General features: G+C 45.6%; 3 annotated features.

Moving 5' to 3' along the window:
- Nucleotides 1,812–2,313: an enhancer, noted in NCBI's record as "H3K4me1 hESC enhancer chr17:70181507-70182008 (GRCh37/hg19 assembly coordinates)". NCBI's record gives its function as "activates a minimal SCP1, AML or CMV promoter by ChIP-STARR-seq in naive H9 embryonic stem cells {active_cell/tissue: H9 hESC(naive)}" and the evidence as "EXISTENCE:reporter gene assay evidence [ECO:0000049][PMID:30033119]".
- Nucleotides 21,570–22,071: an enhancer, noted in NCBI's record as "H3K4me1 hESC enhancer chr17:70201265-70201766 (GRCh37/hg19 assembly coordinates)". NCBI's record gives its function as "activates a minimal SCP1, AML or CMV promoter by ChIP-STARR-seq in naive H9 embryonic stem cells {active_cell/tissue: H9 hESC(naive)}" and the evidence as "EXISTENCE:reporter gene assay evidence [ECO:0000049][PMID:30033119]".
- Nucleotides 22,072–22,571: an enhancer, noted in NCBI's record as "H3K4me1 hESC enhancer chr17:70201767-70202266 (GRCh37/hg19 assembly coordinates)". NCBI's record gives its function as "activates a minimal SCP1, AML or CMV promoter by ChIP-STARR-seq in naive H9 embryonic stem cells {active_cell/tissue: H9 hESC(naive)}" and the evidence as "EXISTENCE:reporter gene assay evidence [ECO:0000049][PMID:30033119]".

The raw sequence follows: 23,889 nt of genomic DNA on the forward strand, positions 1-23,889 counted from the left end.
CACTTACAAACCTCTCTCAATGTCCAGCCCAGCTGTACCTCTTCCCTGTGTAAGACACAAGCACAGAGACTCACTCGTTGGCACTGGTCAAAAGTCACTTTCCAACTTTCGATGTCAGGCTCAACACAAGGCGCTTCCAAAAGGGCCTTTCCACCCATGGTTGGCACTCCCAATGTTGGTCTTTGAAATGTCCTATGGTTTTCGGCTTGGAGGAAGTTGCCTTGGCCCAAGCTCTCTTGAGTCCACACCCAGATCGCCTAACTTAGTTTCTGCATTGTGTCAAGCAAGATCACAGAGCATACGATGGGTAATAATCACCGAAGAGCAGAGCAGGCAAACCTGCAGATGCTCATGAAGGGGGATGGGCCATCAGTATCCGACATCTCTGCTTCTTTCTCCCCAGTTTCCTCAATATATGCAAAGAGCATATGCTTCTGATTTCTACAGCTGAGTACCTGGTGCCCTAAATGTCCTGGAAAACCCTGTCCTGAGAAAAGGCAGGAGGAGGGGTTGGAAAGAGAGAGGATGGGCCCTAAAACCTTCCTGGCTTGGTTTCCTCTACATGCCAACCACTCGATCTTATAAAATCATCCAGGTTATCTCCCTACACCTGTGCACCATGCTAAAGGGGAAGGAAATGTGGACAGGAGTGAAACAAATAAGCAAAGCCAAAATAGGGGTATGGGGTCCTAACCCTAACCCTTGAAAGCTGTGCAACTTACTCAAGTCATTTGAACTCTCAAGGGGTTTAGTTTGTTTGCTTTATTTTCTTTATAAGATTGGGATTTTAAAGTCTGCCCTGCTTATCCTTGAAAGATAGTCCAGAATCACAAAGGGCATCACACAGGGGCCTACTGGGGTTAGATGGGCATTGAGTATTGTTATTACCCCAAACGAAGGCATCCCTGGAAAAACAGACTTTCCTAATACTTTTTCCAACTGGTTTATACACACAGTTACTCCAATAATTCTTTTTTTTTTTTTTTTTTTTTTTGAGACGAAGTCTCCCTCTGTCACCAGGCTGGAGTGCAGTGGCACAATCTCGGCTCACTGCAACTTCTGCCTCCCTGGTTCAAGCGATTCTCCTGCCTCAGCCACCTGAGTAGCTGGGGCTACAGGCGTGTGCCACCATGCCCAGCTAATTTTTGTATTTTTTTTAGTACAGACAGCGTTTCACCATGTTGGCCAGGATGGTCTCGATCTCTTGACCTCGTGATCCACCCGCCTCGGCCTCCCAAAGTGCTGGGATTACAGGCGTGAGCCACCGCACCTGGCCAAGTTACTCCAATAATTCTAAATCTGATTTCCCTTAAACTTCTTATAATCTACTTGATTTTTTTCTTTTATTTCCTTATTTTTCTTTCCTGGGGCATCTGGGAGGAAAGGAACTGGGGATTCCTGGAGTGTTTCTGTCACATGCAGCCTCTTCGGCAGCTGGTAGGCTACAGAGGCCTACTCCGCGTGGGAGGAGGGAGATGCATTGCATCATTACCTCATTGTGTTAAGAAAACTCTGAGATTCAACCATTCTAAAATAAAATTTTCTCATTAGGAGGGAGGTTTTTGGCTCTCTAGTCTTAAAATGCCCAGGAACCAAACTGGCCTTCTAAAGATGTGGAACACAAAGTTCCGTTCCCATTTTTGATGCTGACCCCCTATGAAGCTCAGGTGCCTGTGGACTTCTTAGCCTAACTATAGACAGGTTTTAATAACTTTAATTATCCTGCTTCACTTCTCTAATTTCTTTCTTTCTTTTTTTTTTTTTTCAAAATTAGCCTGAAGGCTCAAAAGATTAAACTTGGGGGAAAATTTCCTAATGCCCTTTAGCTAGCTGGTTTCCAGTTTACGCCCCAGTTTTCCTGCAAATCCTTGCATTTGTACTATAGGATGAGCAACATACCTTGGACTTCCTTCTGTTTACACCTGAGACCGATGTGCACCAGCTATTTATGTACAGATCCTTGGGATGCTTTTCTCTCCACCATGAAATGTTGCCAAACTCCAGGAACTAGGGATATGGGGAGGGGAAAAAAAAAACGTATTGTTGCAATCCCCTCCTCCCCCTTGATCATTAATTGTATCCTGCTGGGAGCCCTCCATGCACTCTGGGTGAGCATGTGTCAAACACATTTCCCTCTTCCCAGCACTTGCCAAGGGTGTGTTAGCCTCTTATTTTTGAAACCTGCTCTTTGAGACATGGAGAAACTCAGACAGGAGGAAGGAGGGGGAGGAGATTACAGCAGAGCAGCAGCAGGCTGGGGTCAGGCTCTGGGCCAGAGCCTTCGAGTCCAAATTTCCTCCCCGGACAAAGGATGGGTGGGGGTGGTCAGCTCTTCTGCAGCGACCGACTGGTGGCTGAGCAGGCAGGAGGGACCCACTGCGGTGACCGGAAGTTAAGAGGATACAGACGCAGTTGAGGTTCTCCTTAAATGATGAAGTAGCTGATTCTTCCTCCAAATCCCTCTTCACTAGTTCTGAGGCCCCCAGACAACCCCAGCAGTCAAGCACTGCTGCTTCCCATCCCAGATGTTTTGAATTCTGAGAGAGCAAAATATGTAGAAAAATCCTTACTAGGTATCTATTCCCCACCAGAGCACAACAAGGTATGGGACCAAGGGACCAGGAAAAATCAGTTGTCTTCTATTGGAGGAAGGAGCAGGTGCCATGGTGGACCCTGGAAACTCCATTGGGGTTTCCTCAGTCGACATAGCTCGTGCGGAAGACACTTGCCCTTCAAAGTTGCTCAGGAGACCGAAGCATGAGATTCAAGTCTGCCCTTGCAATTCTCCTAGGCATAAGGTTGTCTTCATCTGTCAGCCTGCTCAACCTTCTCTTCTGTCCAGTCCTAGCACTGTAGAAAGAAATCAAATTATTCTTGCAGATTAAGGTTGGTTCTCAGAGACTCCGCTTCTGGAAAATGCTGAAGGATCATCTACTTTTTCCCAGAGTCACGAAAGGGAGATCACCAGGCACAGCGGCATATGCCTGTGATCCTAGGTACTCAGGAGGCTGAGGCGGGAGGATTGTTTGAGGACAGGAGTTTGAGGCTGCAGTGAACTATGATTACACCATTGCACTCCCGTCTGGGCAATATAGCAAGACCCTGCCTCTAATTTTCTTTTTTAAAGGGTAGCCGGGGTGAACATGTACCACCATATATATATATATTTTTTTATTTTGGAGAAATGGGGTCTTGCTATGTTACCCAAGGTAATCTTGAACTCGTGGCCTCAAGCAATCCTCTTGCCTTGGCCTCCCAAAGTGCTGGGATTACAGTTGGTTTCATTTCGGCTTCTCACCTTTATATTATCATCCATGAAATCCTCAACCTTTTATCAGTCTCATCCCTGGGTGGTCCTTAGGGTAAGTTGTAAAACTTGGTGGGAAGGAGTTATCACTACCTGGTCCAGCATCACAGGGCTACTAAGAACCCAGGCTCATAGGCAGACAGATCTTGGTCTAAATTTTATCTGTTACTTGTATTGGCTGTGTGATGTACCAATCTGAACTTCTTGAGCTGTAGGGTTGTCATCTCTAAATTTATTTTTTAAAGATTGAATGAGGTTATGTATGTAAAGCACTTAACACTTGGAATGGCAAGTAGTGCCCAAGAAATCTTACTTTACTATTGCAAAAAAAAAAAAAAAAAAAAAGTTAAGACTGGTAATAGTGACACCTGGAAGCCCCTGTTGGATCTGCCACATCTACTGGTAACATGTCCTGACCACATTGCTCCTGTCCCCCACCCAGCTTAAGGTCATCTCTTCTTTGGATTGACAGCACACATGCCCGTTAGCTGCAAGCTCTTTATCATCTCATGAGAATTCAACCCAAAGGGAGACAGGCAAGAATAAGCCAAAGTCTGACTCTCCTCAGACTCTCGCTTGATTTCCATGAGGCACACAACCCGCTTCTTCACGAACAGGCGCAGATGCTCTTCCCATCACACACGGCCCCATCATCTGACATCCCTATTGGCCAGGCTCTTGAACCCAAGTCACAGCTGGTTCCTTGAGGCAGCCTGAGGCGTAACACCGCCTGCAAAGAAAACTTTTCTCTCTGTTGAAAATGCACAGGGCCCCCTCTGCCTTAGTCCCTACCACTCCCCCAACATTGTCCTACTACTGTTTCCGTGTAGCGCATCTGGCCAAAGCAAACAGCTCTCCTGAGCCAGCTCTCCAGCAAGCAGCTGCAATACAAAGTTGGCAGGCATTTTCAGGAAGCCTGGCCTTCCCCCGCCTGCTCACCCTGTGGGCTCCCCTGGAAGACACAAGAAATGAAGCCTGACCTTTTAATTAGCCCTCGCACAGGGCCTGACCTCATTCTCTGGAGGAGCTGGACCGCCCCTCTCCACTCCCCTGCCCTGCTCCTCATCCGTCCTTCACATGTTGGGTGCCTGGGTACTGGGGCTAGCTTTTCTCCTCTCTGGGGAAAACGCACATTGTGAATAGGATGTTAGGAACTAGAGGAGTAGTTATAAAGGTTTATTAGTGTCCTATATTGATGACTGTGTATTGGAGTTTGAATTGAGGTTGGGGACAGATGAGGATCTCAGATCTAGGAGTAACGATAAGAGGGAAAATGGGAAGAACAAAGAGAGGAGAAGAGAGAGGGAAGGAGGGAGGGAGGGATGAAGGGAAGGATTTTTAGCACCTTTTGTCAGTCTGATAATAAGTGTTTTCATGTGTTTTCTTCTTTAAACTCTGTAAGACCATAGGTTTTGATGATCCTGATTTTATAGGTAAGACATTGAGTCCCCAAAGAGAAGTGACTTGCTCGAGGTCACTCAGTTGGCAGATGGCAGAGCAAAAACAAGAACCTAGGTCTTCTGGCTCTGAGACTGGAAACTTCACATCAGGTTGCTGCTATTGTCCAGTAGTTTTAGGGTTACCTTTATAAGATAAATTATTTTTTTCAGTCCCGTCAGCTAGAATAATGCATCCGTAGGCTCAGTGGCCCCCATCTGATTCAACAATCTGGCATGCATTGTTTTGGTTAAGGTCAGCTGACCCTAACTTTGGTGTTCCTGAGAGCTACTTGGAGGTGGTAATTGTGGTAGAGAGAGTGGGACCAAAAGTGGCAGTGGTGGTGGCGGTCATGGTGATAGTGGTGGTGGTGATGGTAGTGATAGTGGAGGTGGTGGTAGTAACGATGGTGGTGGTATTGATGGTGGTAGTGGTAATGGTGATGGTGGTGGTGGTAGTGGTGATGGTGATGGTAGTGTTGATGGTGATCACTATGGTAGCGATGGTGGTGGTGATGATGGTGGTGGTGTTGGTGGTGGCAATGGTGGTGATGATGATGGTGGCAATGGTGGTGATGATAACGGTCGTAATAGTAGTAGTGATGGTGATAGTGGTAGTGATGATGGTGGTGGTAGTGTTCATGGTGATGGTGATGTTCATGGTGATGGTGATGATGGTGATCATGATAGTAGTGATGGTGGTGGTGTTGATGGTGATGGTGGTGGTGGTGATAATGGTGACCATGATAGTAGTGATGGTGGTGGTGGTGGTGATGGTGGTGCTGGTGATGATGGTGGTGGTTGTGTTGGTGGTGGTGGCAATAGTGGTGATGATGATGGTGGCAATGATGGTGATGATAATGGTGGTAATAGTAGTAGTGATGGTGATAGTGGTAATGATGATGGTGGTGGTAGTGTTCGTGGTGATGATGGTGGTAGTGATGATGGAGGTGTTGGTGTTGGTGGTGGTGGTGTTGATGGTGATCATGATAGTAGTGATGGTGGTGGTGGTGATGATGGTGGTGGTGGTGGTGATGGTGGTGGTGGTAGTGGTGGTGGTGATGGTGACGGTGTTGATGGTGATCATGATGGTAATGATGGTGGGGGTGGTGGTGATGGTGTTCATGGTGGTGGCAATGGTGGTGATGATGGTGGTAGTGATGGTGGTGGCAGTAGTAGTGATGGTGATGGCAGTAATGATGCTGGTGGTAGTGTTCATGGTGATGGTGGTGTTGATGGTGGTGGTGATGATGACGGTGGTGATAGTGGTAGTAATGATGATGGTGATGAGGGTGGTAGTAATGGAGGCATGCTCTTGTTACTAGCAGCAGTGGTGGGAGTAACATGAAACATAGATAGACCAGCTAATTGGCTTTCTCAGTCTCTAAAATCCTCCCTTGCATTGCACTCCTTGCCTTCTGATCTTCTGGTTTGTAGAAATTGGCCAGAGCTCTGACCCTTTGTTTGTTGGTAGCAGCATCTGTAAAATGATATGACAGTCTTGTATTTATTTATTTTTGAAAGGATGTAAGGGAAACAGCTTCCCTTATTCAAACAAAACACAAAGTCCCCAAGGCTTTAAAACTGGAAGCTGATTCTCCAGGTGGGGAGATGGGGGTTGCCAGCAATGTCAACATGGCACCTGAGTTTCTGCTTTCCCCTCCCCCATCTCTCCCTCTGACTCTCACATCCACAGCTATGTCAGCCTGGGAGTGAATTACTGTTTGTCCTTCAGAGCTCTGGCCCAAGTGTGGCCAGCTCTCTCTCTCTTGGCTTCCCTTAGCCCATATGAGAGACTGGAATTTAAGTGTGGGAGAGACTAGGAAGAGAAAACCAAAAGGAAGACAAACAAAGAAAACACAGGAAGTTTAGGCAGCACCCAGATTACAAAGCTGACTTTTCTGAGCCTTCACAGCTAACTCATTCCCAGGGCTGGCCACCTGTGTCTCAGTCCACATCTTGTCTAATAAGTTCAGGCAAATTGTACTGAGACAATTTAAGAGACATCTCCAACGGCCACGCTCCAAGGAGCACCCAACTTGTCTTTATGTGGAAGGAGTCAAGTACTTCCCGTTTCATACTCCTCTCTTCATTTTGTGCCCCCAGAGCCCAAGCAAAGACTACCCATCTCAATAGCTCACCCAGCGTGGTCCCAGCACACCACAGTTTCATTTGCCTAGATATCTGGCAGCACTATGGCAACCACTGAAACGAATGAATGCACCTTTCAGGTGACTTGCCTGGCTCTTATCATTGGCCTGAGAGCATAACAATATCACTTTCTTCTTCTTCTTCTTCTTCTTTTTTTTTTTTTTTAATGCACATCTCACTCTGTCACCCAGCCTGGAGTGCAGTGATGCAATCATAGCTCACTGCAGCTTGGACCTTCTGGGCTCAGGCAGGCCTCCCACCTCAGCCTTCCAGCCTCCCAAGGAGCTGGGACCACAGGTGCACACCACCATGCCTCGCTAATTTTTTGTAGAGATAGGGTCTCGCTATATTCCCTAGGCTGGTCTTGAACTCCTGGGATCAAGTGATTCCCCCACTTTGGCCTCCCAAAGTGCTGGGATTACTGGTGTGATCCACTATGCCAGGCCTATGAAATCACTTTCTAATGAAATTATCAACATTCACAAAAACACCCAAGCCAGCCATCACCATGGATGGCTTATGGCAGCAACAGGGTTGAAGAGCTTGGTGAAGGGATCAGCTTCAATCATCCCCCTTGATTCCCAGTGAAGTCAACATAGAAAAAATTTAAAAGAACAGCAGTCTTAAAGCTCAAAGGAGGGTAATTCAAACTTCCCCAGAACTGCAAACTGGGTTACTTTCTTTCTTTCTTTCTTTTTCAGATGGAGTCTTGCTCTGTCGCCAGGCTGTAGTGCAGTGGCACGATCTCGGCTCACTGCAACCTCTGCCTCCCAGGTTCAAGCAATTCTCCTGCCTTAGCCTCCTGAGTAGCTGGGATTACAGGCATGTGCCACCATGCCCAGCTAATTTTTGTATTTTTAGTAGAGACGGGGTTTCACCATGTTGGCCAGGATGGTCTCAATCTCTTGACCTCGTGATCCACCCGCTTCAGCCTCCCAAAGTGCTGGGATAACAGGCATGAGCCACCACGCCCAGCCCAAACTGGTTACTTTCATGATAACTGAATTTCCTTTTGAAGCATTAACACACATGGTCAATGGAGGTGTTGTGCAGTGCACTTTTCTCCTCCTTTCAGTTGGTGGTGTGTTCCCCGGGTGGTTTTGGGGAAATCTTGGCACTGAATACAAACAGCCAGTCCTCACTCTGACATTGTCAGCCAACGAGGGGTCTCCCAGTGTGGGAATGCTGCCCTGAGGGTGTTGCAAGACCCCCCATCTTCTCTGCTCAGCCCCTCTCAGCTCCACACTTTATTTTCCAGGACTGACCTTCTTGTAACTCTCATGCAATTGCTCCCTTTGGGACTCTTCTAGAAACACATTGATAAGGGACGAGAGGATGAGAAGATGGAAAACAAGCCCAGGAAGAATATCTGGCTCATTTTTTCCTTTGCCGATCAAGTAACAATTTATGCCTGGTCAGGACAGACAGCAGATTTTATTTATTTTGCTAGCCTCCTACCCTATTCCCATCCCAGGGGTGGGGCGGGGTGGGCTGATATTTTCTTTCAAGGCTATACTAAAAATTCCAGCCTCCCTCCTGATTCTAACCCCAGGATTACCATTTCAGGCAGGCAGGACCTCCTTGTCATTCAGAAGACAGCTCCCGAAGCCAGCCTCTCCCCACTGCAATTTGGAGCAGCCTTGAAGCATTTAGAGGCCCAGGGGTCGGGGGAGGTACAAGATGTTCTCTTTTTCTCTCCTATCTCTCAAATGTGTTGCTTCAAGACTGCAGTTGTTTCTTTTTAGCAGAACATCGCTGACGAAACTCCTGATTGTCCCCTGGTGTTATCACTCCCTGTCACATAATAAGCCCTAATCTTTCTCCAGAAGTAAAACTGTTTCCATGCCCGATCCCTTAGCTGGTGGTTTTTTTGGAATCCCTCCAGAGAGTGGGAGTAGAGGTTCAGAGGGAAAGATGATAAAGCCTGGAAAATCCGCTGCCTGGGACCTTGAGGGTTAAGTCAGCCCAGATTTGGGAGAAGAAGATTGGCATTCCCCTGATCCCAGATGGAGAATACTAAATAACTCCCTTCAGCAAGTCAACTTGTTTGGTTATCTTGGAGTGTGGATTGGGGCTAACTCATCCTGGCCAGTCCTTCCGGATGTAGCCTTGCTCAAAATCAAGCCTTTTCCAGGAGTCTTGTTCTCTGGGGCTGCCTCCTCCCAGGCTGATAAAGAGTTTCATCATGGATGATTCAAGAGGTTGAGATGCAAGCTGTGGTGATAGCTAACGATGCCTCTAGCCCAGCTGACCTCACTTTCTAGCTGTTGACAGGTTCAGTCAGGCTGGCCAAACAGCTTCCAACCAGGCCAAGACAAATGGTCTCGGGCTTTCGCACCCCCTTATCCCTCCAAGTCCTTCTTCTGGATGGCAGTTCACCTCTGAGAGTCCCTGCAGATCATCTGGAGTCCACCCCTTCTCCCATAGGCAAATGCATAGACCAGGATAAATAAGACTGCTCCTATTTTCCATGCCCCACGTCATGATGATCTCGTCAGAGGCTGGCATCACCCTCTGGTCCCTCCTTACTTCTTCCCAGAGTCTCTCCTTCCCACTCGAACTGTTCCGGACCTGAGTAGGTGGTTTGGAGTCCTGACTCACTTTAAAAAGCATGCAGTAGGCCCAATCATCTTGTGTGTGTGCAGAGAAGACTTTAAACTAGTTCTCACACACACACACACACACACACACACACACAGAGACACCCCCACACACACAGTGCCTCCAGCCTCTTCTCCAGCCAGGGATATGATGGGAAATGGAGGCCTCTTTATCATCCACGCAGTGGGTAGCATTGAGGGCCTCCAGCTCCTGGGGACCACTCAACTCCTCAGATCCTGAATACAGGACTGGAAGAGAAAAGAGATAACAGGCAAATCTGAAGTCTCCATGCAGTGACCAGACAGGCTGGCTCAGACAGGACACAGCGTTTTCTCCATGACTTCTAGAGTTAAGCATCACTCTGGAAACACTGGAAGGAACAGGAAATGCTGGGGACATGTGGGGAGGAATCATACCCCCTTTCACCCACACAGCCTATTTGTCGGGACCAGGGCTCCAACCAATGTGAAGCTTGGGTTGTATCCACACTGGGCTCAAGGCTGAGGCTGAAGCGGCGCCAGCTGCTCGTGTGGCAATTCGGTCCACAGAGTTAAACCCCAGGGCCTTCATAATAATCATGAATCACACTCCCTGACTGCTGCATGACACTCTGCAGTTCTTAAAATGCTTCTTACATACATTGTTCAGTCCTCATGCCTTGCCTGTGAATGAGGCATTATGACCCCTTTTTCTTTTACAGAGATGGAAACTCAGCTTAGTAAAGGGCAGAAGGAGGATACAAACCTGGAACCTCCAGCTCCAGATCCTTCGATCCTCCCCTGCAGAGGGAATTTAACTGTACTTGAGAATGGATAACGCTTTACTGACATGGGGAAATGAAGCCTTCTAGGCACAAAGATGAGGTCAACAAAGGCAAGGGGCAAAACAGTGGAGGATGTTTTCTTTTAAGATTTGTGTGTGTGTGTGTGATGGAGTTTCCCTCTTGTTGCCCAGGTTGGAATGCAATGGGGCAATCTTGGCTCACCACAACTTCTGCCTCTCAGGTTCAAGCGATTCTCCTGACTCAGCCTCCCGGGTAGCTGGGATTATAGGCGCCTGCCACCACGCCCGGCTAATTTTTTTATTTTTAGTAGAGACAGGGTTTCACTATGTTGACCAGGCTGGGTCTCGAACTCCTAGCCTCAAGTGATCCGCCCACCTTGGCCTCCCAAAGTGCTGGGATTACAAGCATGAGCCACCGCGCCTGGTCTTCTTTTAAGAATTTTTTAAAATTGTTTTGCAGCCGAGCTCTGTGATTCGCACCTGTAATCCCATACTTTGGGAAGCCAAGGCGGGTGGATCGCTTGTGCCCAGGATTTTGAGACCAGCCAAGGCAACATGGTGAAACCCCATCTCCACAAAAAATACAACAATTAGCAGGGTGTAGTAGTGTACCCCTGTAATCCCAGCTATTTGGGAGGCTATGGTAGGAGATTGCTTGAGCCCAGGAAGTTGAGGCTGCAGTGAGCCATGATTGTGCCACTGTATTCAGCCTGGGCAACAAAGCAAGACCCTGTCTCAAAACAAATAAATAAATTGCTTTGCCTCAGCACATTGTAAATTTTTTTTTTTTTTTTAGACGGAGTTTCGCTCTTGTTGCACAGCTGGAGTGCAATGGTGCGATCTCGACTCACCACAACCTCTGCCTCCTGGGTTCAAGCGATTCTCCTGCCTCAGCCTCCTGAGTAGCTGGGATTACAGGCATGTGCCACCACGCCCCACTAATTTTGTATTTTTAGTAGAGACAGGGTTTCTCCATGTTGGTCAGGCTGGTCTCGAACTCCCATCCTCAGGTAATCCGACTGTCCCGGCCTCCCAAAGTGCTGGGATTACAGGCATGAGCCACCACGCCCGGCAGCACGTTGTAAATTTAACTATTCATTCCGTTATGTTGTTAGTCCACAGTTATGGCAGAAATTGTTTAAATATATCTATAGAGAGAGAGAGAGAGATAGATATGTATATGTATTATAGCACTTCCTGTTCCTTCCAGCAATTCCAAAGCAATGCTTAACTCTAGAATTCATGAAGAAAACACCACATCCTGAGCCAGCCAGCCTGTCTGGTAACTCCATGGAGACTTCAGAGCTGCCTTATGATCTCTCTCATCTCCTTCTAGAGTTGTTTTATTCCTTTACATATACAAATACTATATGCAAGCATCATATATATTACTCCATAACTTCCTTTTCCCTTAGAACATAGAAAAATGCTGGAAATATCTTTCCATGTCAGGAAATAAGTGTGTATTGTTTTTGAATGGTTGCCTAGTATTCCATTGTATTGATATTATTGGACACTGATACTGTTTTCATTTTTTAGTCATTGCAAATGATGCTGTAATGAATCTTCTTCTGCACATATCTTTGTGCAGATGTTTGATCATTTCCTTAAGATAAATTCCTGGAAGTGGAATAACTTGGTCCAAACACACCATGAAGGTTTTTTATATGGTTTGGCTGTGTCCCCACCCAAATCTCATCTTTAATTGTAGCTCCCATAATTCCCACATGTTGTGGGAGGGACCCAATGGGAGGTAATTGAATCATGAGGGTGGTTTCCCCCATACTGTTCTCGTGGGAGTAAATAAGTCTCACGAGGTCTGATGGTTTTATAAGAGGAAACCCCTTTCACTTGGGTCTCATTTCTCTCTTGTCTACCACCATGTAATATGTGCCTTTCACCTTCCACCATGATTGTGAAGCCTACCCAACCACATGGAAATGTGAGTCCATTAAACCTCTTTTTCTTTATAAATTACCCAGTCTCAGGTATGTCTTTATCAGCAGTGTAAAAATTGACTAATACAGTTTTCAATGTATTTCACCAAAGGATGTGCCTTTTTTTTTCTTTTTTTTGAGACAGAGTTTCATTCTTTCTTCCAGGCTGGACTGCAATGCATGATTTCGACTCACTCACTGCAACCTCCACCCCCCAGGTTCAAGTGATTCTCCTGCCTCAGCCTCCCGAGTAACTGGGATTATAGGCACCTGCCACCATGCCCGGCTAATTTTTGTACTTTTAGTGGAGACGGGGTTTCGCCATTTTGGCCAGGCTGGTCTTGAACTCAGGTGATCCACCTGCCTCACCCTCCCAAAGTGCTAGGATTACAGGCGTGAGCCACTGCGTCCGGCTAGGATGTCCCTTTTAATAGTCCCAGCTACAGAAAGCTCAGTCAAAGGGCACACTAGCAGAAGAGGAGGTCTGGAGTCAGAGTGCAAGCCATGTCTGGGGGAAACTTGTGTGACAGTAAGCAAAAAGTGAACTTTGATTTCTAGGGATTAAAGAGGTATTAAAGTTTTTGAGTACAGGATGACTTGGCCAGAAGTGGCAGAGGCTTCAGGAAGGACAAAGTAGGGGGTAAGGAGTGGAGAAGAGGAGAAGAATGAGGAAAAGATAGAAGAGGAGATCGGGCTTGGTGGCTCATGCCCATAATCCCAACACTTTGGGAGGCCAAGGCGGGTGGATCACGAAGTCAGGAGGACACCATCCTGTCTAACATGGTGAAACCCCATCTCTACTAAAAATACAAAAACTTAGCCAGGCGTGGTGGCACGTGCCTGTAGTCACAGCTACTTGGGAGGCTGAGGCAGGAGAATCACTTGAACCCAGGAGTAGGAGGTTGCAGGGAGCTGAGACTGCACCACTGCATTCCAGCTTGGGTGACAGAGTGAGACTCCATGTCAAAAAAATAAACAAATAAAAATAAAAAGAGGAGGAGGAGGAAGATGAGAGTTATGTCATACAGGGGAGTCATTAAAGATGATACAAAGATTTGGAGTCTGAGCAACTGGAAGATAAAGATGCCGTCAAAGCCAGAGAAAATGGCAGGCGGAAATTTTAAGAGAAACTCAAATTTGTTTTTCAATAGTTTGTACCCATCCAGACAGCTGTCTCTCAGAGCTGGTTGCTTAGGAGAGGGATCTGGGTTAGAGGCAAGGTTTGAGATTCCACTTCAGAATTCACAGTTACATTCAATGGTCATTTGGAGCTGTGAAAAAAAAATATATCTCTATATATATAGATATATACACACACATATATATATTTATTTATATACGTATATATATTTAAATATATATAGAGAGAGAGAAAGAGAGAGAGAGAATTCAGTTACAGCTGTAGAAGTAGATGACATGGAAGAACAATATGAAAAGAGGGGCCAATACCACCTTTTAAAGAGTGGGAGGAAACAAAAGAACCAAGAAGGATGATCCAAAAAGTACCAGCAGAGACAGGAAGAGAACACAGCATTCCTTGCAATAGAAGCCAAAGAGAAGAAGTTCTAGAGGAAGGGTGATGTTGTAAAGGATGCAGAGGCCAAATAGTGCAAATATGAAGGAGCTATTCAATTGGGCCATGCTGGTGAGTTCCTCATGGAATGAAAGAGAGGGTTTCATCTAGCGTTTCATGAATCTGGGAGGAACTTCATCTGAGCCTTTGCGAAGGGCAAAGGTAGGAGTAGATCAAAACTAAGGGTTCACCAGACCCCAACCAGTGGCATTCACAGGCCTGGCCAGCAATGAATGTTTCCACTGAACTCCCGGCTTGACCTGTTTAAGCCTGACATTGGGGGGTAGGGGGCCAGTGTTTTTGTGAATGATGGAAATGAATGCACAGCATATGGATGGGGCCCAAAACAAAACAAGGAGCACACTCATGCTCTGTTTAAGGCAGGGGCACAGTGGTAGCTCTAACGATTTTTAAGTAAAATTCCAACCCCGAATAAGAAAGATCACATCTTAGAGTATATTATGGGATGGTTATATCTGAATTACTTGCCTCTTAATTCAACAATAAAGTAAAGGCCTTTGGGCTGATACAAATGCCACGCTCCCTCCTAAAACATAAAATCTGAATTACAGAATAATTCCGGGGAGGTGGGCATTCTATTACCATCTCCATGCCTTGGCTGGAGATGCCTTGGCTGTCCGGTTCCATCGGTGACATGTCCCCACCCCCAGTTTCAGAGGGTGGGGGCAGCCCTTCAGCTGAATCCCTCTGCTCTGCTTCTCCTTCTCCAGGACACAATTGAGAGTACACACCAGGCGGCACAAAACAGTGGCAACTGGCCAGGTGGGGTGGCTCACACCTGTAATCCCAGCACTTTGGGAGGCCAAGGCGAGTGGATCACCTGAGGTCAGGAGTTCGAGACCAGCCTGGCTAACATAGCGAAACCCCATCTCTACTAAAAATACATAAATTAGCCGGGCATGGTGGCGCACATCTGTAATCCCAGCTACTTGGGAGGCTGAGGCACGAGAATCGCTTGAACTTGGGAGGTGGAGGTTGCATTGAGCCAAGATCATGCCACTACACTCCAGCCTGGGCAACAGAGTGAGAATGCGAGACTCATCTCAAAAAAAAAAAAAAAAAAAAAAAAAACCAGTGGCAACTGATATGACAAATGGATTGAAATGCTACCACGTCCCCTCCCCACTCTCCATTACCACAGAGACACCAGCCAACCAAAGCCAGGAGATAAGGAAATAGCCATAAAGGACAGTCCGGTGGACACAGGTGCTCAGAGAATCGATATGCCAACAAGATTCTTCAATCCATCCAAGTTCCGAAGGGGAAAGGATGTGAGATGGGGAACTGGGGTCAAAGTTGCAAACAGACCAGTTTTGTCCTTAGGACAAGAGGCCTCCCTTCTCTCTAATTGGAGTTGCATCAGTCTGATACATGTTGATCCCACACACCAAAGTTCTTTTCTTTTCAATTTCCATTCCTAATTTTCTCACCTGCCTCGCCTGCAATCCTGGATAACCTCTAAGATGGACAGCTAGGTATATGCTCAAGCAGCCGTGAAACCAGGCAGAATGATTGGGAGACTCAGTCACCTGCACCTTCTCCTTCAACCACTTTGAAAAGTAGACAAGGGCCGGGCGCGGTGGCTCACGCCTGTAATCCCAGCACTTTGGGGGGCCGAGGCAGGTGGATCACAAGGTCAGGAGATCAAGACCATCCTGGCTAACATGGTGAAACCCCGTCTCTACTAAAAATACAAAAAATTAGCTGGGCGTGGTGGCGGGTGCCTGTAGTCCCAGCTACTCGGGAGGCTGAGGCAGGAGAATGGCGGGAACGCGGGAGGCGGAGCTTGCAGTGAGCCAAGATTGCACCACTGCACTCCAGCCTGGGTGACAGTGCAAGACTCCGTCTCAAAAAAAAAAAAAAGAAAAGAAAAGTAGACAAGGCCCAACTACCATCACAGGATTTTTTCCCACTTGCTCCCTTTAGGACAAGCAGTGAACATATCCTCCAAATGTATAGGCAGAAAGGCATCTCTTTAAAAGGGCAGAGACCCAAAAGTTGGAAAGAGAAAAAGGGAGACAACTTATATTGTGGTTTATTCCTCACTAATAGTTTTCTGGGCAACAGGAAGCCAATGGTCAAATATTAACTGGAGTTGTACCACAGCCCAACAGGTCTAGTGGACATAATTTTCCCCAAACAACTGTGATCAGACATACACATGGAAGGAAGGGAGGAAAGAAACTTCTCAATCACTCCTACTTCTTTTTAATGCAAATGACATGTTCCTACTTAGGTGCCTTGGAACTCAGTCATTTGCATTGTTCAAATTCTAGGTACCTGCCATAAGTCTTATAACAAGCCACTCTCCACAATCACCCCACAAAAGCTACAGGACAGCCTGTCACTCTAAGCTTTCAGATCAGTGCTTTGTTATTTCAGTAACCATAAAGGTCAAGACAATGATTTTTGGAGTCAATTGCCAAAAACCTAGCAGGGGCTCATTGCTTATAGAAGGCACTCATGCTGGTTGGTTTAATACTGAGAAATTTTAAAGCCTTACTGTAGTAGAAATTAGAGTTGAAGCCCCAGCAATCCTTCTATGTTTCCTCAATTGTGTAGTAGTCATGCGATTAAATGGAGATTGACCCCACCCAGAAGCAAGGTTGAACCAATCAGAGATTGGATTCTTGTCCTCCTGCCATAATGATTGGTTTGCAATAAGTAAAGTCTGTGCCAATCAACATATGGCATTTCCATATCTGACTCCTGAGGGAAGATTTTGGAGGGTTTCTGAGGAAGTAAGTCTCTAACTTTGTCAGAGAGAGCTACCGAAACCAACCTTCTCACTCTAGGAGTGGTTTGATGGTAATAAACGTAGAGTGTTAGCCATGTTGCCACTCTAAAGAAAACTGGCCTGAAGATAAAGATGGTACCAATGTACACAAAGCAAAGAGAAAGTAAAACAGGTCCTTAATGACTTCATTGATCTGTTTGGAGCAAACCAACCCTGAATTCCACGTTACTCATTATCCTTCCAGTAGAGTAAGTCAATGAACCCCCTGCATTGTTTAAGCCAGTTTGAGGTAGGCTATCTTTTTGTTTACTTATTTTTTAAAAAATAAGTCCTAGTAAATGGTTTCAATTTTTTAAATAATTAAAGATCTTTACCAGTATACTTACCCAAACTGTCATCTGTTTGACAATTTTGCTCTTAATGATTAACAAAAGTAAGTTTTGGAGCCCTGGAGACTGAGATGAAAAATGAAATCTCCTCTTTGGAGAAGTATAGGCTGAGGAGTCCACAAAACTGTCCTGCCAGGCTTATATTGTCCAAGGTATTGAAGTACAATCAACTCTTAGTGGTTCTTGTTGAAGCATGGGGGGAAATGTCAGAGGAAACAGCAATGTATTATATACACTCTGGAAGACTGATTCATCTTTATATGTGGCTAAAGCTGGTATTAAAATGAATTTGCATTCTCTGAGCATAAAGTGTAGACCACTGTGAAAGACAGATGTCAAGGGTGGCTATGTGATCAAAACAGAAAATGGTAAGGAAATTAAATTTTAAATGAATATTTTAAATGTAAATAATCCCAATACTAATTGCTAAGAGAATTTTAGGCATTCTATTGGAATTAACCTATTTGCCATTTAGCTAAAACAAAGCATGAACTAGATGATTGGTCTGCAAAAAGACTTCCTAGTTATTCTGACCTGTTACACGAGCAAAAGTACTGACAAGTTGATGCCAAATGTTCCTTTTGAAGATTTCATGATTTATTGGCTATATTCCCCTAATCCAGAAATTAAGTTGTACTTTGTTCTTCGGTTCTCTAAAAGTGCAGAGTCAAGAAAATATGAGGTGTTCAAGAAATAATGGTTATTTTGTTGGCTGGATAGATGGATGAATGGGTTGATGACAGGTGGATAGATAAATGAATGGGTGGGTAGATGGATGGATGAATAGACAGATGCTAGGTGGAGCCGTCACTGGAAATAACACTAATCCATCTAGTCCTAAACATTTTTCCCCAAAGCAGGAAGTCTCCAGTTCTAGTCCCAAACATATTCTCCAATAGCAGTTATCATTTGCCCTGGCCCTATAATTGTTATGCTCACAGATACCTCAAAAGATTCATGATAAGAGACTACCTCTAGTATCTTGGCCTTACCTGTTCCAGGATCTAATACATTTATGTTTTATTATTTTTTTCCTCCTCAGATAAAGATCTGTATGTGTCTTAGACTCACTGAATTCCAAACCAATCCATGTCGTCTTGCTGACTCCTCTAATTTTGTTAACAGAAATGCCATTTTCCTTTGCCAAGGCTCCAAATTAGAAATCATCATTGCTCCTCACTGTTCATTTGCCCCCCTCATGCAACTTGCAAGCCCTTAAGAGCCCACCTCTTCGTTGTCTTTCATAAAGCTCCCACCTTGCCATGTCTACTGCCACCACCTACTTTAGGGCCTCATTAACTTCTCCCTTAAACGGTATCAATTGCTTCTAAGTTGATGTCCTGAATTCCAATTTTTCCTCCACCATAAGAAAATAGGATACTATTTTTTTTTTAATACTTTAAGTTCTAGGATACATGTGCACAACGTGAAGGTTTCTTACATATGTATACATGTGCCATGTTGGTGTGCTGCACCCGTTAACACATCATTTACATTAGGTATATCTCCTAATGCTATCCCTCCCAACTCCCCCCACCCCACGACAGGCCCCAGGGTGTGATGTTCCCCACCCTGTGTCCAGGTGTTCTCATTGTTCAATTCCCACCTATGAGTGAGAACATGTGGTGTTTGGTTTTCTGTCCTTGCAATAGTTTGCTGAGAATAATGGTTTCCAGCTTCATCCATGTCCCTACAAAGGACATGAACTCATCATTTTTTATGGCTGCACAGTATTCTATGGTGTATATGTGCCACATTTTCTTAATCCAGTCTATCATTGATGGACATTTGGGTTGGTTCCAAGTCTTTGCTATTGTGAATAGTGCCGCAATAAACATACGTGTGCATGTATCTTTATAGCAGCATGATTTATAATCTTTGGGTATATGCCCAGTAATGGGATGGCTGGGTCAAATGGTATTTCTAGTTGTAAATCCTTGAGGTACCACCACACTGTCTTCCACAATGGTTGAACTAGTTTACAGTCCCACCAACAGTGTAAAAGCTTTCCTATTTCTCCACATCCTCTCCAGCACCTGTTGTTTCCTGACTTTTTAATGATCGCCATTCTAACTGGTGAGAGATGGTATCTCACTGTGGTTTTGATTTGCATTTCTCTGATGGCCAGTGATGATGAGCATTTCTTCATGTGTCTGTTGGCTGCATAAATGTCTTCTTTTGAGAAGTGTATGTTCATATAGGATACTATTTCAGTGGAACCCTTTGTTCCCATTGAAATCTTAATATGGAAGAAAGCAAAGTTACTCTGGATAATGCTGGAATTTAAGTATAGAAGCCAGCAATGCTTTGCTCTATGACTGCACCCAATGTAGTACCCTAGAGCTGAGGCCTCACTCCTGCTGCTGCTGCTGCTGGTGGTGCTCTCTGGAAGGCTGCCGAGTTGGTGCAGAAAGAGGAGAACTTGGAGATGCCAAAGGATGTCCCTTAGTCCTCATTGGGCTATTGTCACTTCTATAGCCTCAAAGCAATGGAGCAAATTCTCCATACCCCAACACTGGGTCTCATAATGTCACCTAGATATACCTCATTTCTGACTTTGAACTTCTGCTTGCAGCTGCTTTTTCTATAGGGAATCAGGTTTGCATCTGGGGCCAAGCTAGGGAATGGTCACCATTCTGTTTGCTACCTATCCTTGTTTCCTCATTGCTCTCCAAGGGACCAAACCAATCCCCTCATATCGTAGATAGATAGATAGATAGATAGATAGATAGATAGATAGATAGATAGATAGATAGATAGATAGATGATAGATAGGGTGGGTGGATGGATAGATTGATACATAGATAGATTAGATAGATAGATAGATAGATAGATAGATAGATAGATAGATAGATAGATAGATAGATAGATAGATTTTAAAATGGATATGAAAATATCTGGGGATTTCACTGACCCACCAATTTATCAGACCAAAGCAGTCCAGGACAACTGCTATAATCTGTATCTCAAAACTTGTTTTCTGAATGGAAACTTGAAGATCGCCTTTAATATTTCACTCTTTCTTCCAGGATTTAGTTACTGGTTATACTGGTTCCACCTCCTCAATATCTCTTGTATTTGTCACCTTCTGGCCATCCCTGTTGTTCATCACCCCACTTTAGACCCTCACCATTTCATGCCTGGACTATTGCAATAGCCTGCTGATAGGTCTCTCTACTTCCCAAATCACCTCTTCCTATCCATTTGCTCTTAACATTACAGTTGAAAAATATAAACACAGCTGTTTTATTCCTCAGTTTAAATTTTTCAGTGATTCCCTTTGGCCTAGGGATAACATCCAGACTCGTTTTATTATCTGGCTCTTGCTCCTGTATTGGTTTCCTGTACTCTTGTCTCCCCAGTAATTCTTTTGCAAATTGGCCACATCACCCTGTCCCCATTCACAGGGGTTGAGAGGAGATGACCATGTTAGAACATGAACCTGCCCCATGGCCAGAATCGCCCAGTTCTGTGTGGGCATTTGACCATGGTTGGGTCAATGAGTTTCCTTACCAGGAATATTTTTTTTTTATTATTGAGTTTCGCTCTTCTCACCCAGGCTGGAGCACAATGGCGCAATCTCGGCTCACTGCAACCTCCGTCTCCTGGGTTCAAGCGATTCTCCTGCCTCAGCCTCCTGAGTATCTGGGATTACAGGTGCCCACCACCACACCCAGCAAATCTATGTATTTTTAGTAGAGATGAGGTTTCACCATGTTGGCCAGGCTGGTCTCAAACTCCTGACCTCAAGTGAACCACCCGCCTTGGCCTCCCAAGATGCTGGGATTATAGGCATAAGCCACCATGCCCAGCCCCTTACCAGGAATTCTATGCAATGCCAAACTCAGGAATGGTTTCAATCTCTGTTGTCCACCATGCTTTACAGGAACCTCCTATGAGACAGAATGATGGAGCCAATAAACACAGAGAAGTGGAAGCAGGGCCACAAAGAGGAACCTGATCATGCTTGAAGCTCCAGTTTTTGTATTTGCAACCAAGGATCCTAACTATGCACCCACTTTTATTGTCACAGCTCCCTGAAGTCAGGTCTATGTCTTAATTATCTCTGTTAGCCTCAGAACCTAGCTTATTGCTAGTGCTCAAAGTTTGTCGAATTAATAACGAATATGATACCAAACATCACTTTCTAATAAACTTCTTGTGGCTGCCCTCCTAGCTCAGAACCCGAGAGAGAAACTACATAACGATTTGATTTCAAAGACATTTGCAGCTTTCACCTCTTCTGTGTCTCCTGAGCAGTAGCATCTTCTGTTTGGAGAGAGTTTACGGCATCAGAGCCACAGCAGCAGTCATTTAGTAACGCCTGTGACAGACCTTCACACGCACTATCTCCTTTGATCCTCAGCAATTCCATGGGGTCGCGCTGTAATTATAGCCAGCTCTCTTTTGACAGATGAACGTACCCAGGCCTGGAGAGATGAAACAACTTGGCCAGGGTTTGGTCAAATGGAGATGCCGCAGTCCAGTGCAGGATTACCCAGCTCCAAATCCAATCCCCTTCTGCTATTGCTCTGAAGCCTTCTCAGCAGACATCCTGAACTGCTTGGCTCTGTTTTTAGATCAGAAGAAGCCTCAGAGCGTGAGCACTGAAGATCCCTGTCCCTCTGTCTCCTGTCGCTTCTGCCAGGCCGAAAAAAAGTTTACCCGAGCACCTGGGTGGACGGTGAATGGTCATCGTTTGGCAGCCTTTACTGCTGGCAAAGTGGAATTGCATGGGGGTGGGGACACTCTTGATTTTCCAAGAATGTCCCTGCTGTGGGACACAATGTGCCCCTCCCCTATTCAGCATTGACCGCCCTCCTCATCCATCCACAGAAAGGTACTTTTAAGAGTTGCCATTCTGAGGAAGGATCGGGCAAGTGGAGGGAACTCAGGAGTGGGTAACAAAGAGTTAAGGCCGCAGCTGCCAGCACATGCAGTGTCGAGTTATGCTCAAACTGTTCCCACTGGCGACCAAGTCAGCTGTCATCAGAGAACAAAGAATCCCCCAGAGCCGCTCAAGTTGTGTCACACCCGGGAAGCCCTGAGAGCTCCCTGATTAGGATTTCTAAATCAGCCCCATCGAGGCCTGAAGAATAAAGCTGAGGAACAATGAGCCTGCCACATTCACACAGTCAGCAGTCCCGGCCGGGCTGCCCGCCTCCCCACCACCACCCCCTCCCACGGGGCCTCAAAGGCCACTTCACCTCCATCGGGAAAATCAAATCTCATCGAAAGCCCCGAGCCCACTGGGGCAGCATCCAGAGAGCTTCAGGAGGAGTGTGGGGGAATTTGCTGCACAGACTCCAGCTGCTGTCAGGGTGGTGGGGGTGGGAGGTGTGAATAGGGAGGGATCTGGTCCAAGGATGAGGGGGTCCTGAAGGCCAAATTTGGGATTTGGGAAGTCAGATTTTGCTGTTCTTGTTTCATTCCAGCCAAGTCCCAGTGATTGGAGTTTTGGGCTGGACTCCTAGAAAACCTCACCCTGACCATGAGCCCCAAGCCTTAGAACTTCTCTTGGATCATAGTTAAGGCTAATAAAGGACCAGGAGTCCTACAGCATTAGCAAGATCGTGATGTCAGGAGAATTCCTTTACCCAGCCAATCCTACAGCAAGACAGGGCATTATGTCCAAAGCACCCTTAAGTTCAGGGTTTTGACTTAATCTCCACATGAGAATACATCATTGCGATTCTGAGTGTTGTTGAAAATGAGCGTGCATTTATTCAACATAAATGTTTTAAAAATACCAAATTATTACAACCTTGAATTTGTAAATATTTTTAATATACTGGGATCCTCAAGAAAAGCACATGTGGAACCCCTCAAATTCTGAGGGGTCCTGGTTTTCATTCAAACTTAAATGCTTTTCCTTTTTTTCTATCAACGAAGTCGTTGCCTGGGACAGTCTTGCAGCTCCAGGTGTCATGGGGTCTCTAACAGGGACGCTTTAGGGAACTTGTGCTCTTAGGGGGAACCTGTTGCTGCAGCTGAGAAATTCTGGCTCTTCCCTTCTCTGTGTGTGGCTGGGTCAGACCTGGAATCTGTGGGTAGTTCACTGACAGTCGTCAGCATTCATGATCCCTGCCTGCATGATCCCATTTCTGCATGGCATGGCACAGGGAAGCTTTTTCTGCATTATCTTCTGCATCATGCCTTTCACCAACTGGAATCACAAGGAGATGCACCTGCATCTGCAGATCTCTGCTATTTTTTTCTGAAGGAGAGAGTGGAGGAACACATGGCCTGAACTCCTAGACCATCTTCTACAGCTCCAGCTCTGAGATCCGAAAGCCAGAGGGAAAATGATCAGGGTCCTTTGCAGCAGAATTATTCCAATGACTGGTTTTCAACTGCAGAGGCTGTTTAAGGAAGCTGAGTGTACTCAGCGTGTGAACATGCCAAGTGCATCGTCACTCCAAGGTTGGCCCAAAAGTATATGCCTAAAATGAGAAAATCTATCAAGAGCCCAAATGTGGCAAAGACCCTCATATCAATAATACCTGCTAATACGGGGGCTTGTCTTATGTGTTAAGGATGGCTTGCAATTTATACTTATGATATTTAATCCCCCAATCCTATTTTATAGATGAGAAAAATGAGACTCAAAACTCCCGTAAGGCCATATAAGTAATAAACAGAAAAGTATTGGCAGAGCCAAGATTTGAACTCAAGTCTGTCTCCTCGCTAAGCTCTTGATCAGTAAGTTTCCTGGATTTTTTTCTCCTCAGTTGAACTCTCAATTTAAATGTAAAAGTCTTCAGTTTGCAAAGTTTACCTTTTCTTCTTCTGTATCTCAGTGCTAGTGAAGAATGGAACAAGATCCAACTACCATCAGCAGAGGATAACCCTCACTGTCGTGGAGCACAGGGCATGGATTCAGGTGCTGACCCAATCAGATCCAAAGCTAACACTGCTGCTAAGAGACTGAGCCACTGGAGCTAGTCACCTGCC

The sequence above is a fragment of the Homo sapiens genome, chromosome 17 (genome assembly GCF_000001405.40).
Source record: "Homo sapiens chromosome 17, GRCh38.p14 Primary Assembly".
NCBI classification, from domain to species: Eukaryota; Metazoa; Chordata; class Mammalia; order Primates; family Hominidae; genus Homo; species Homo sapiens.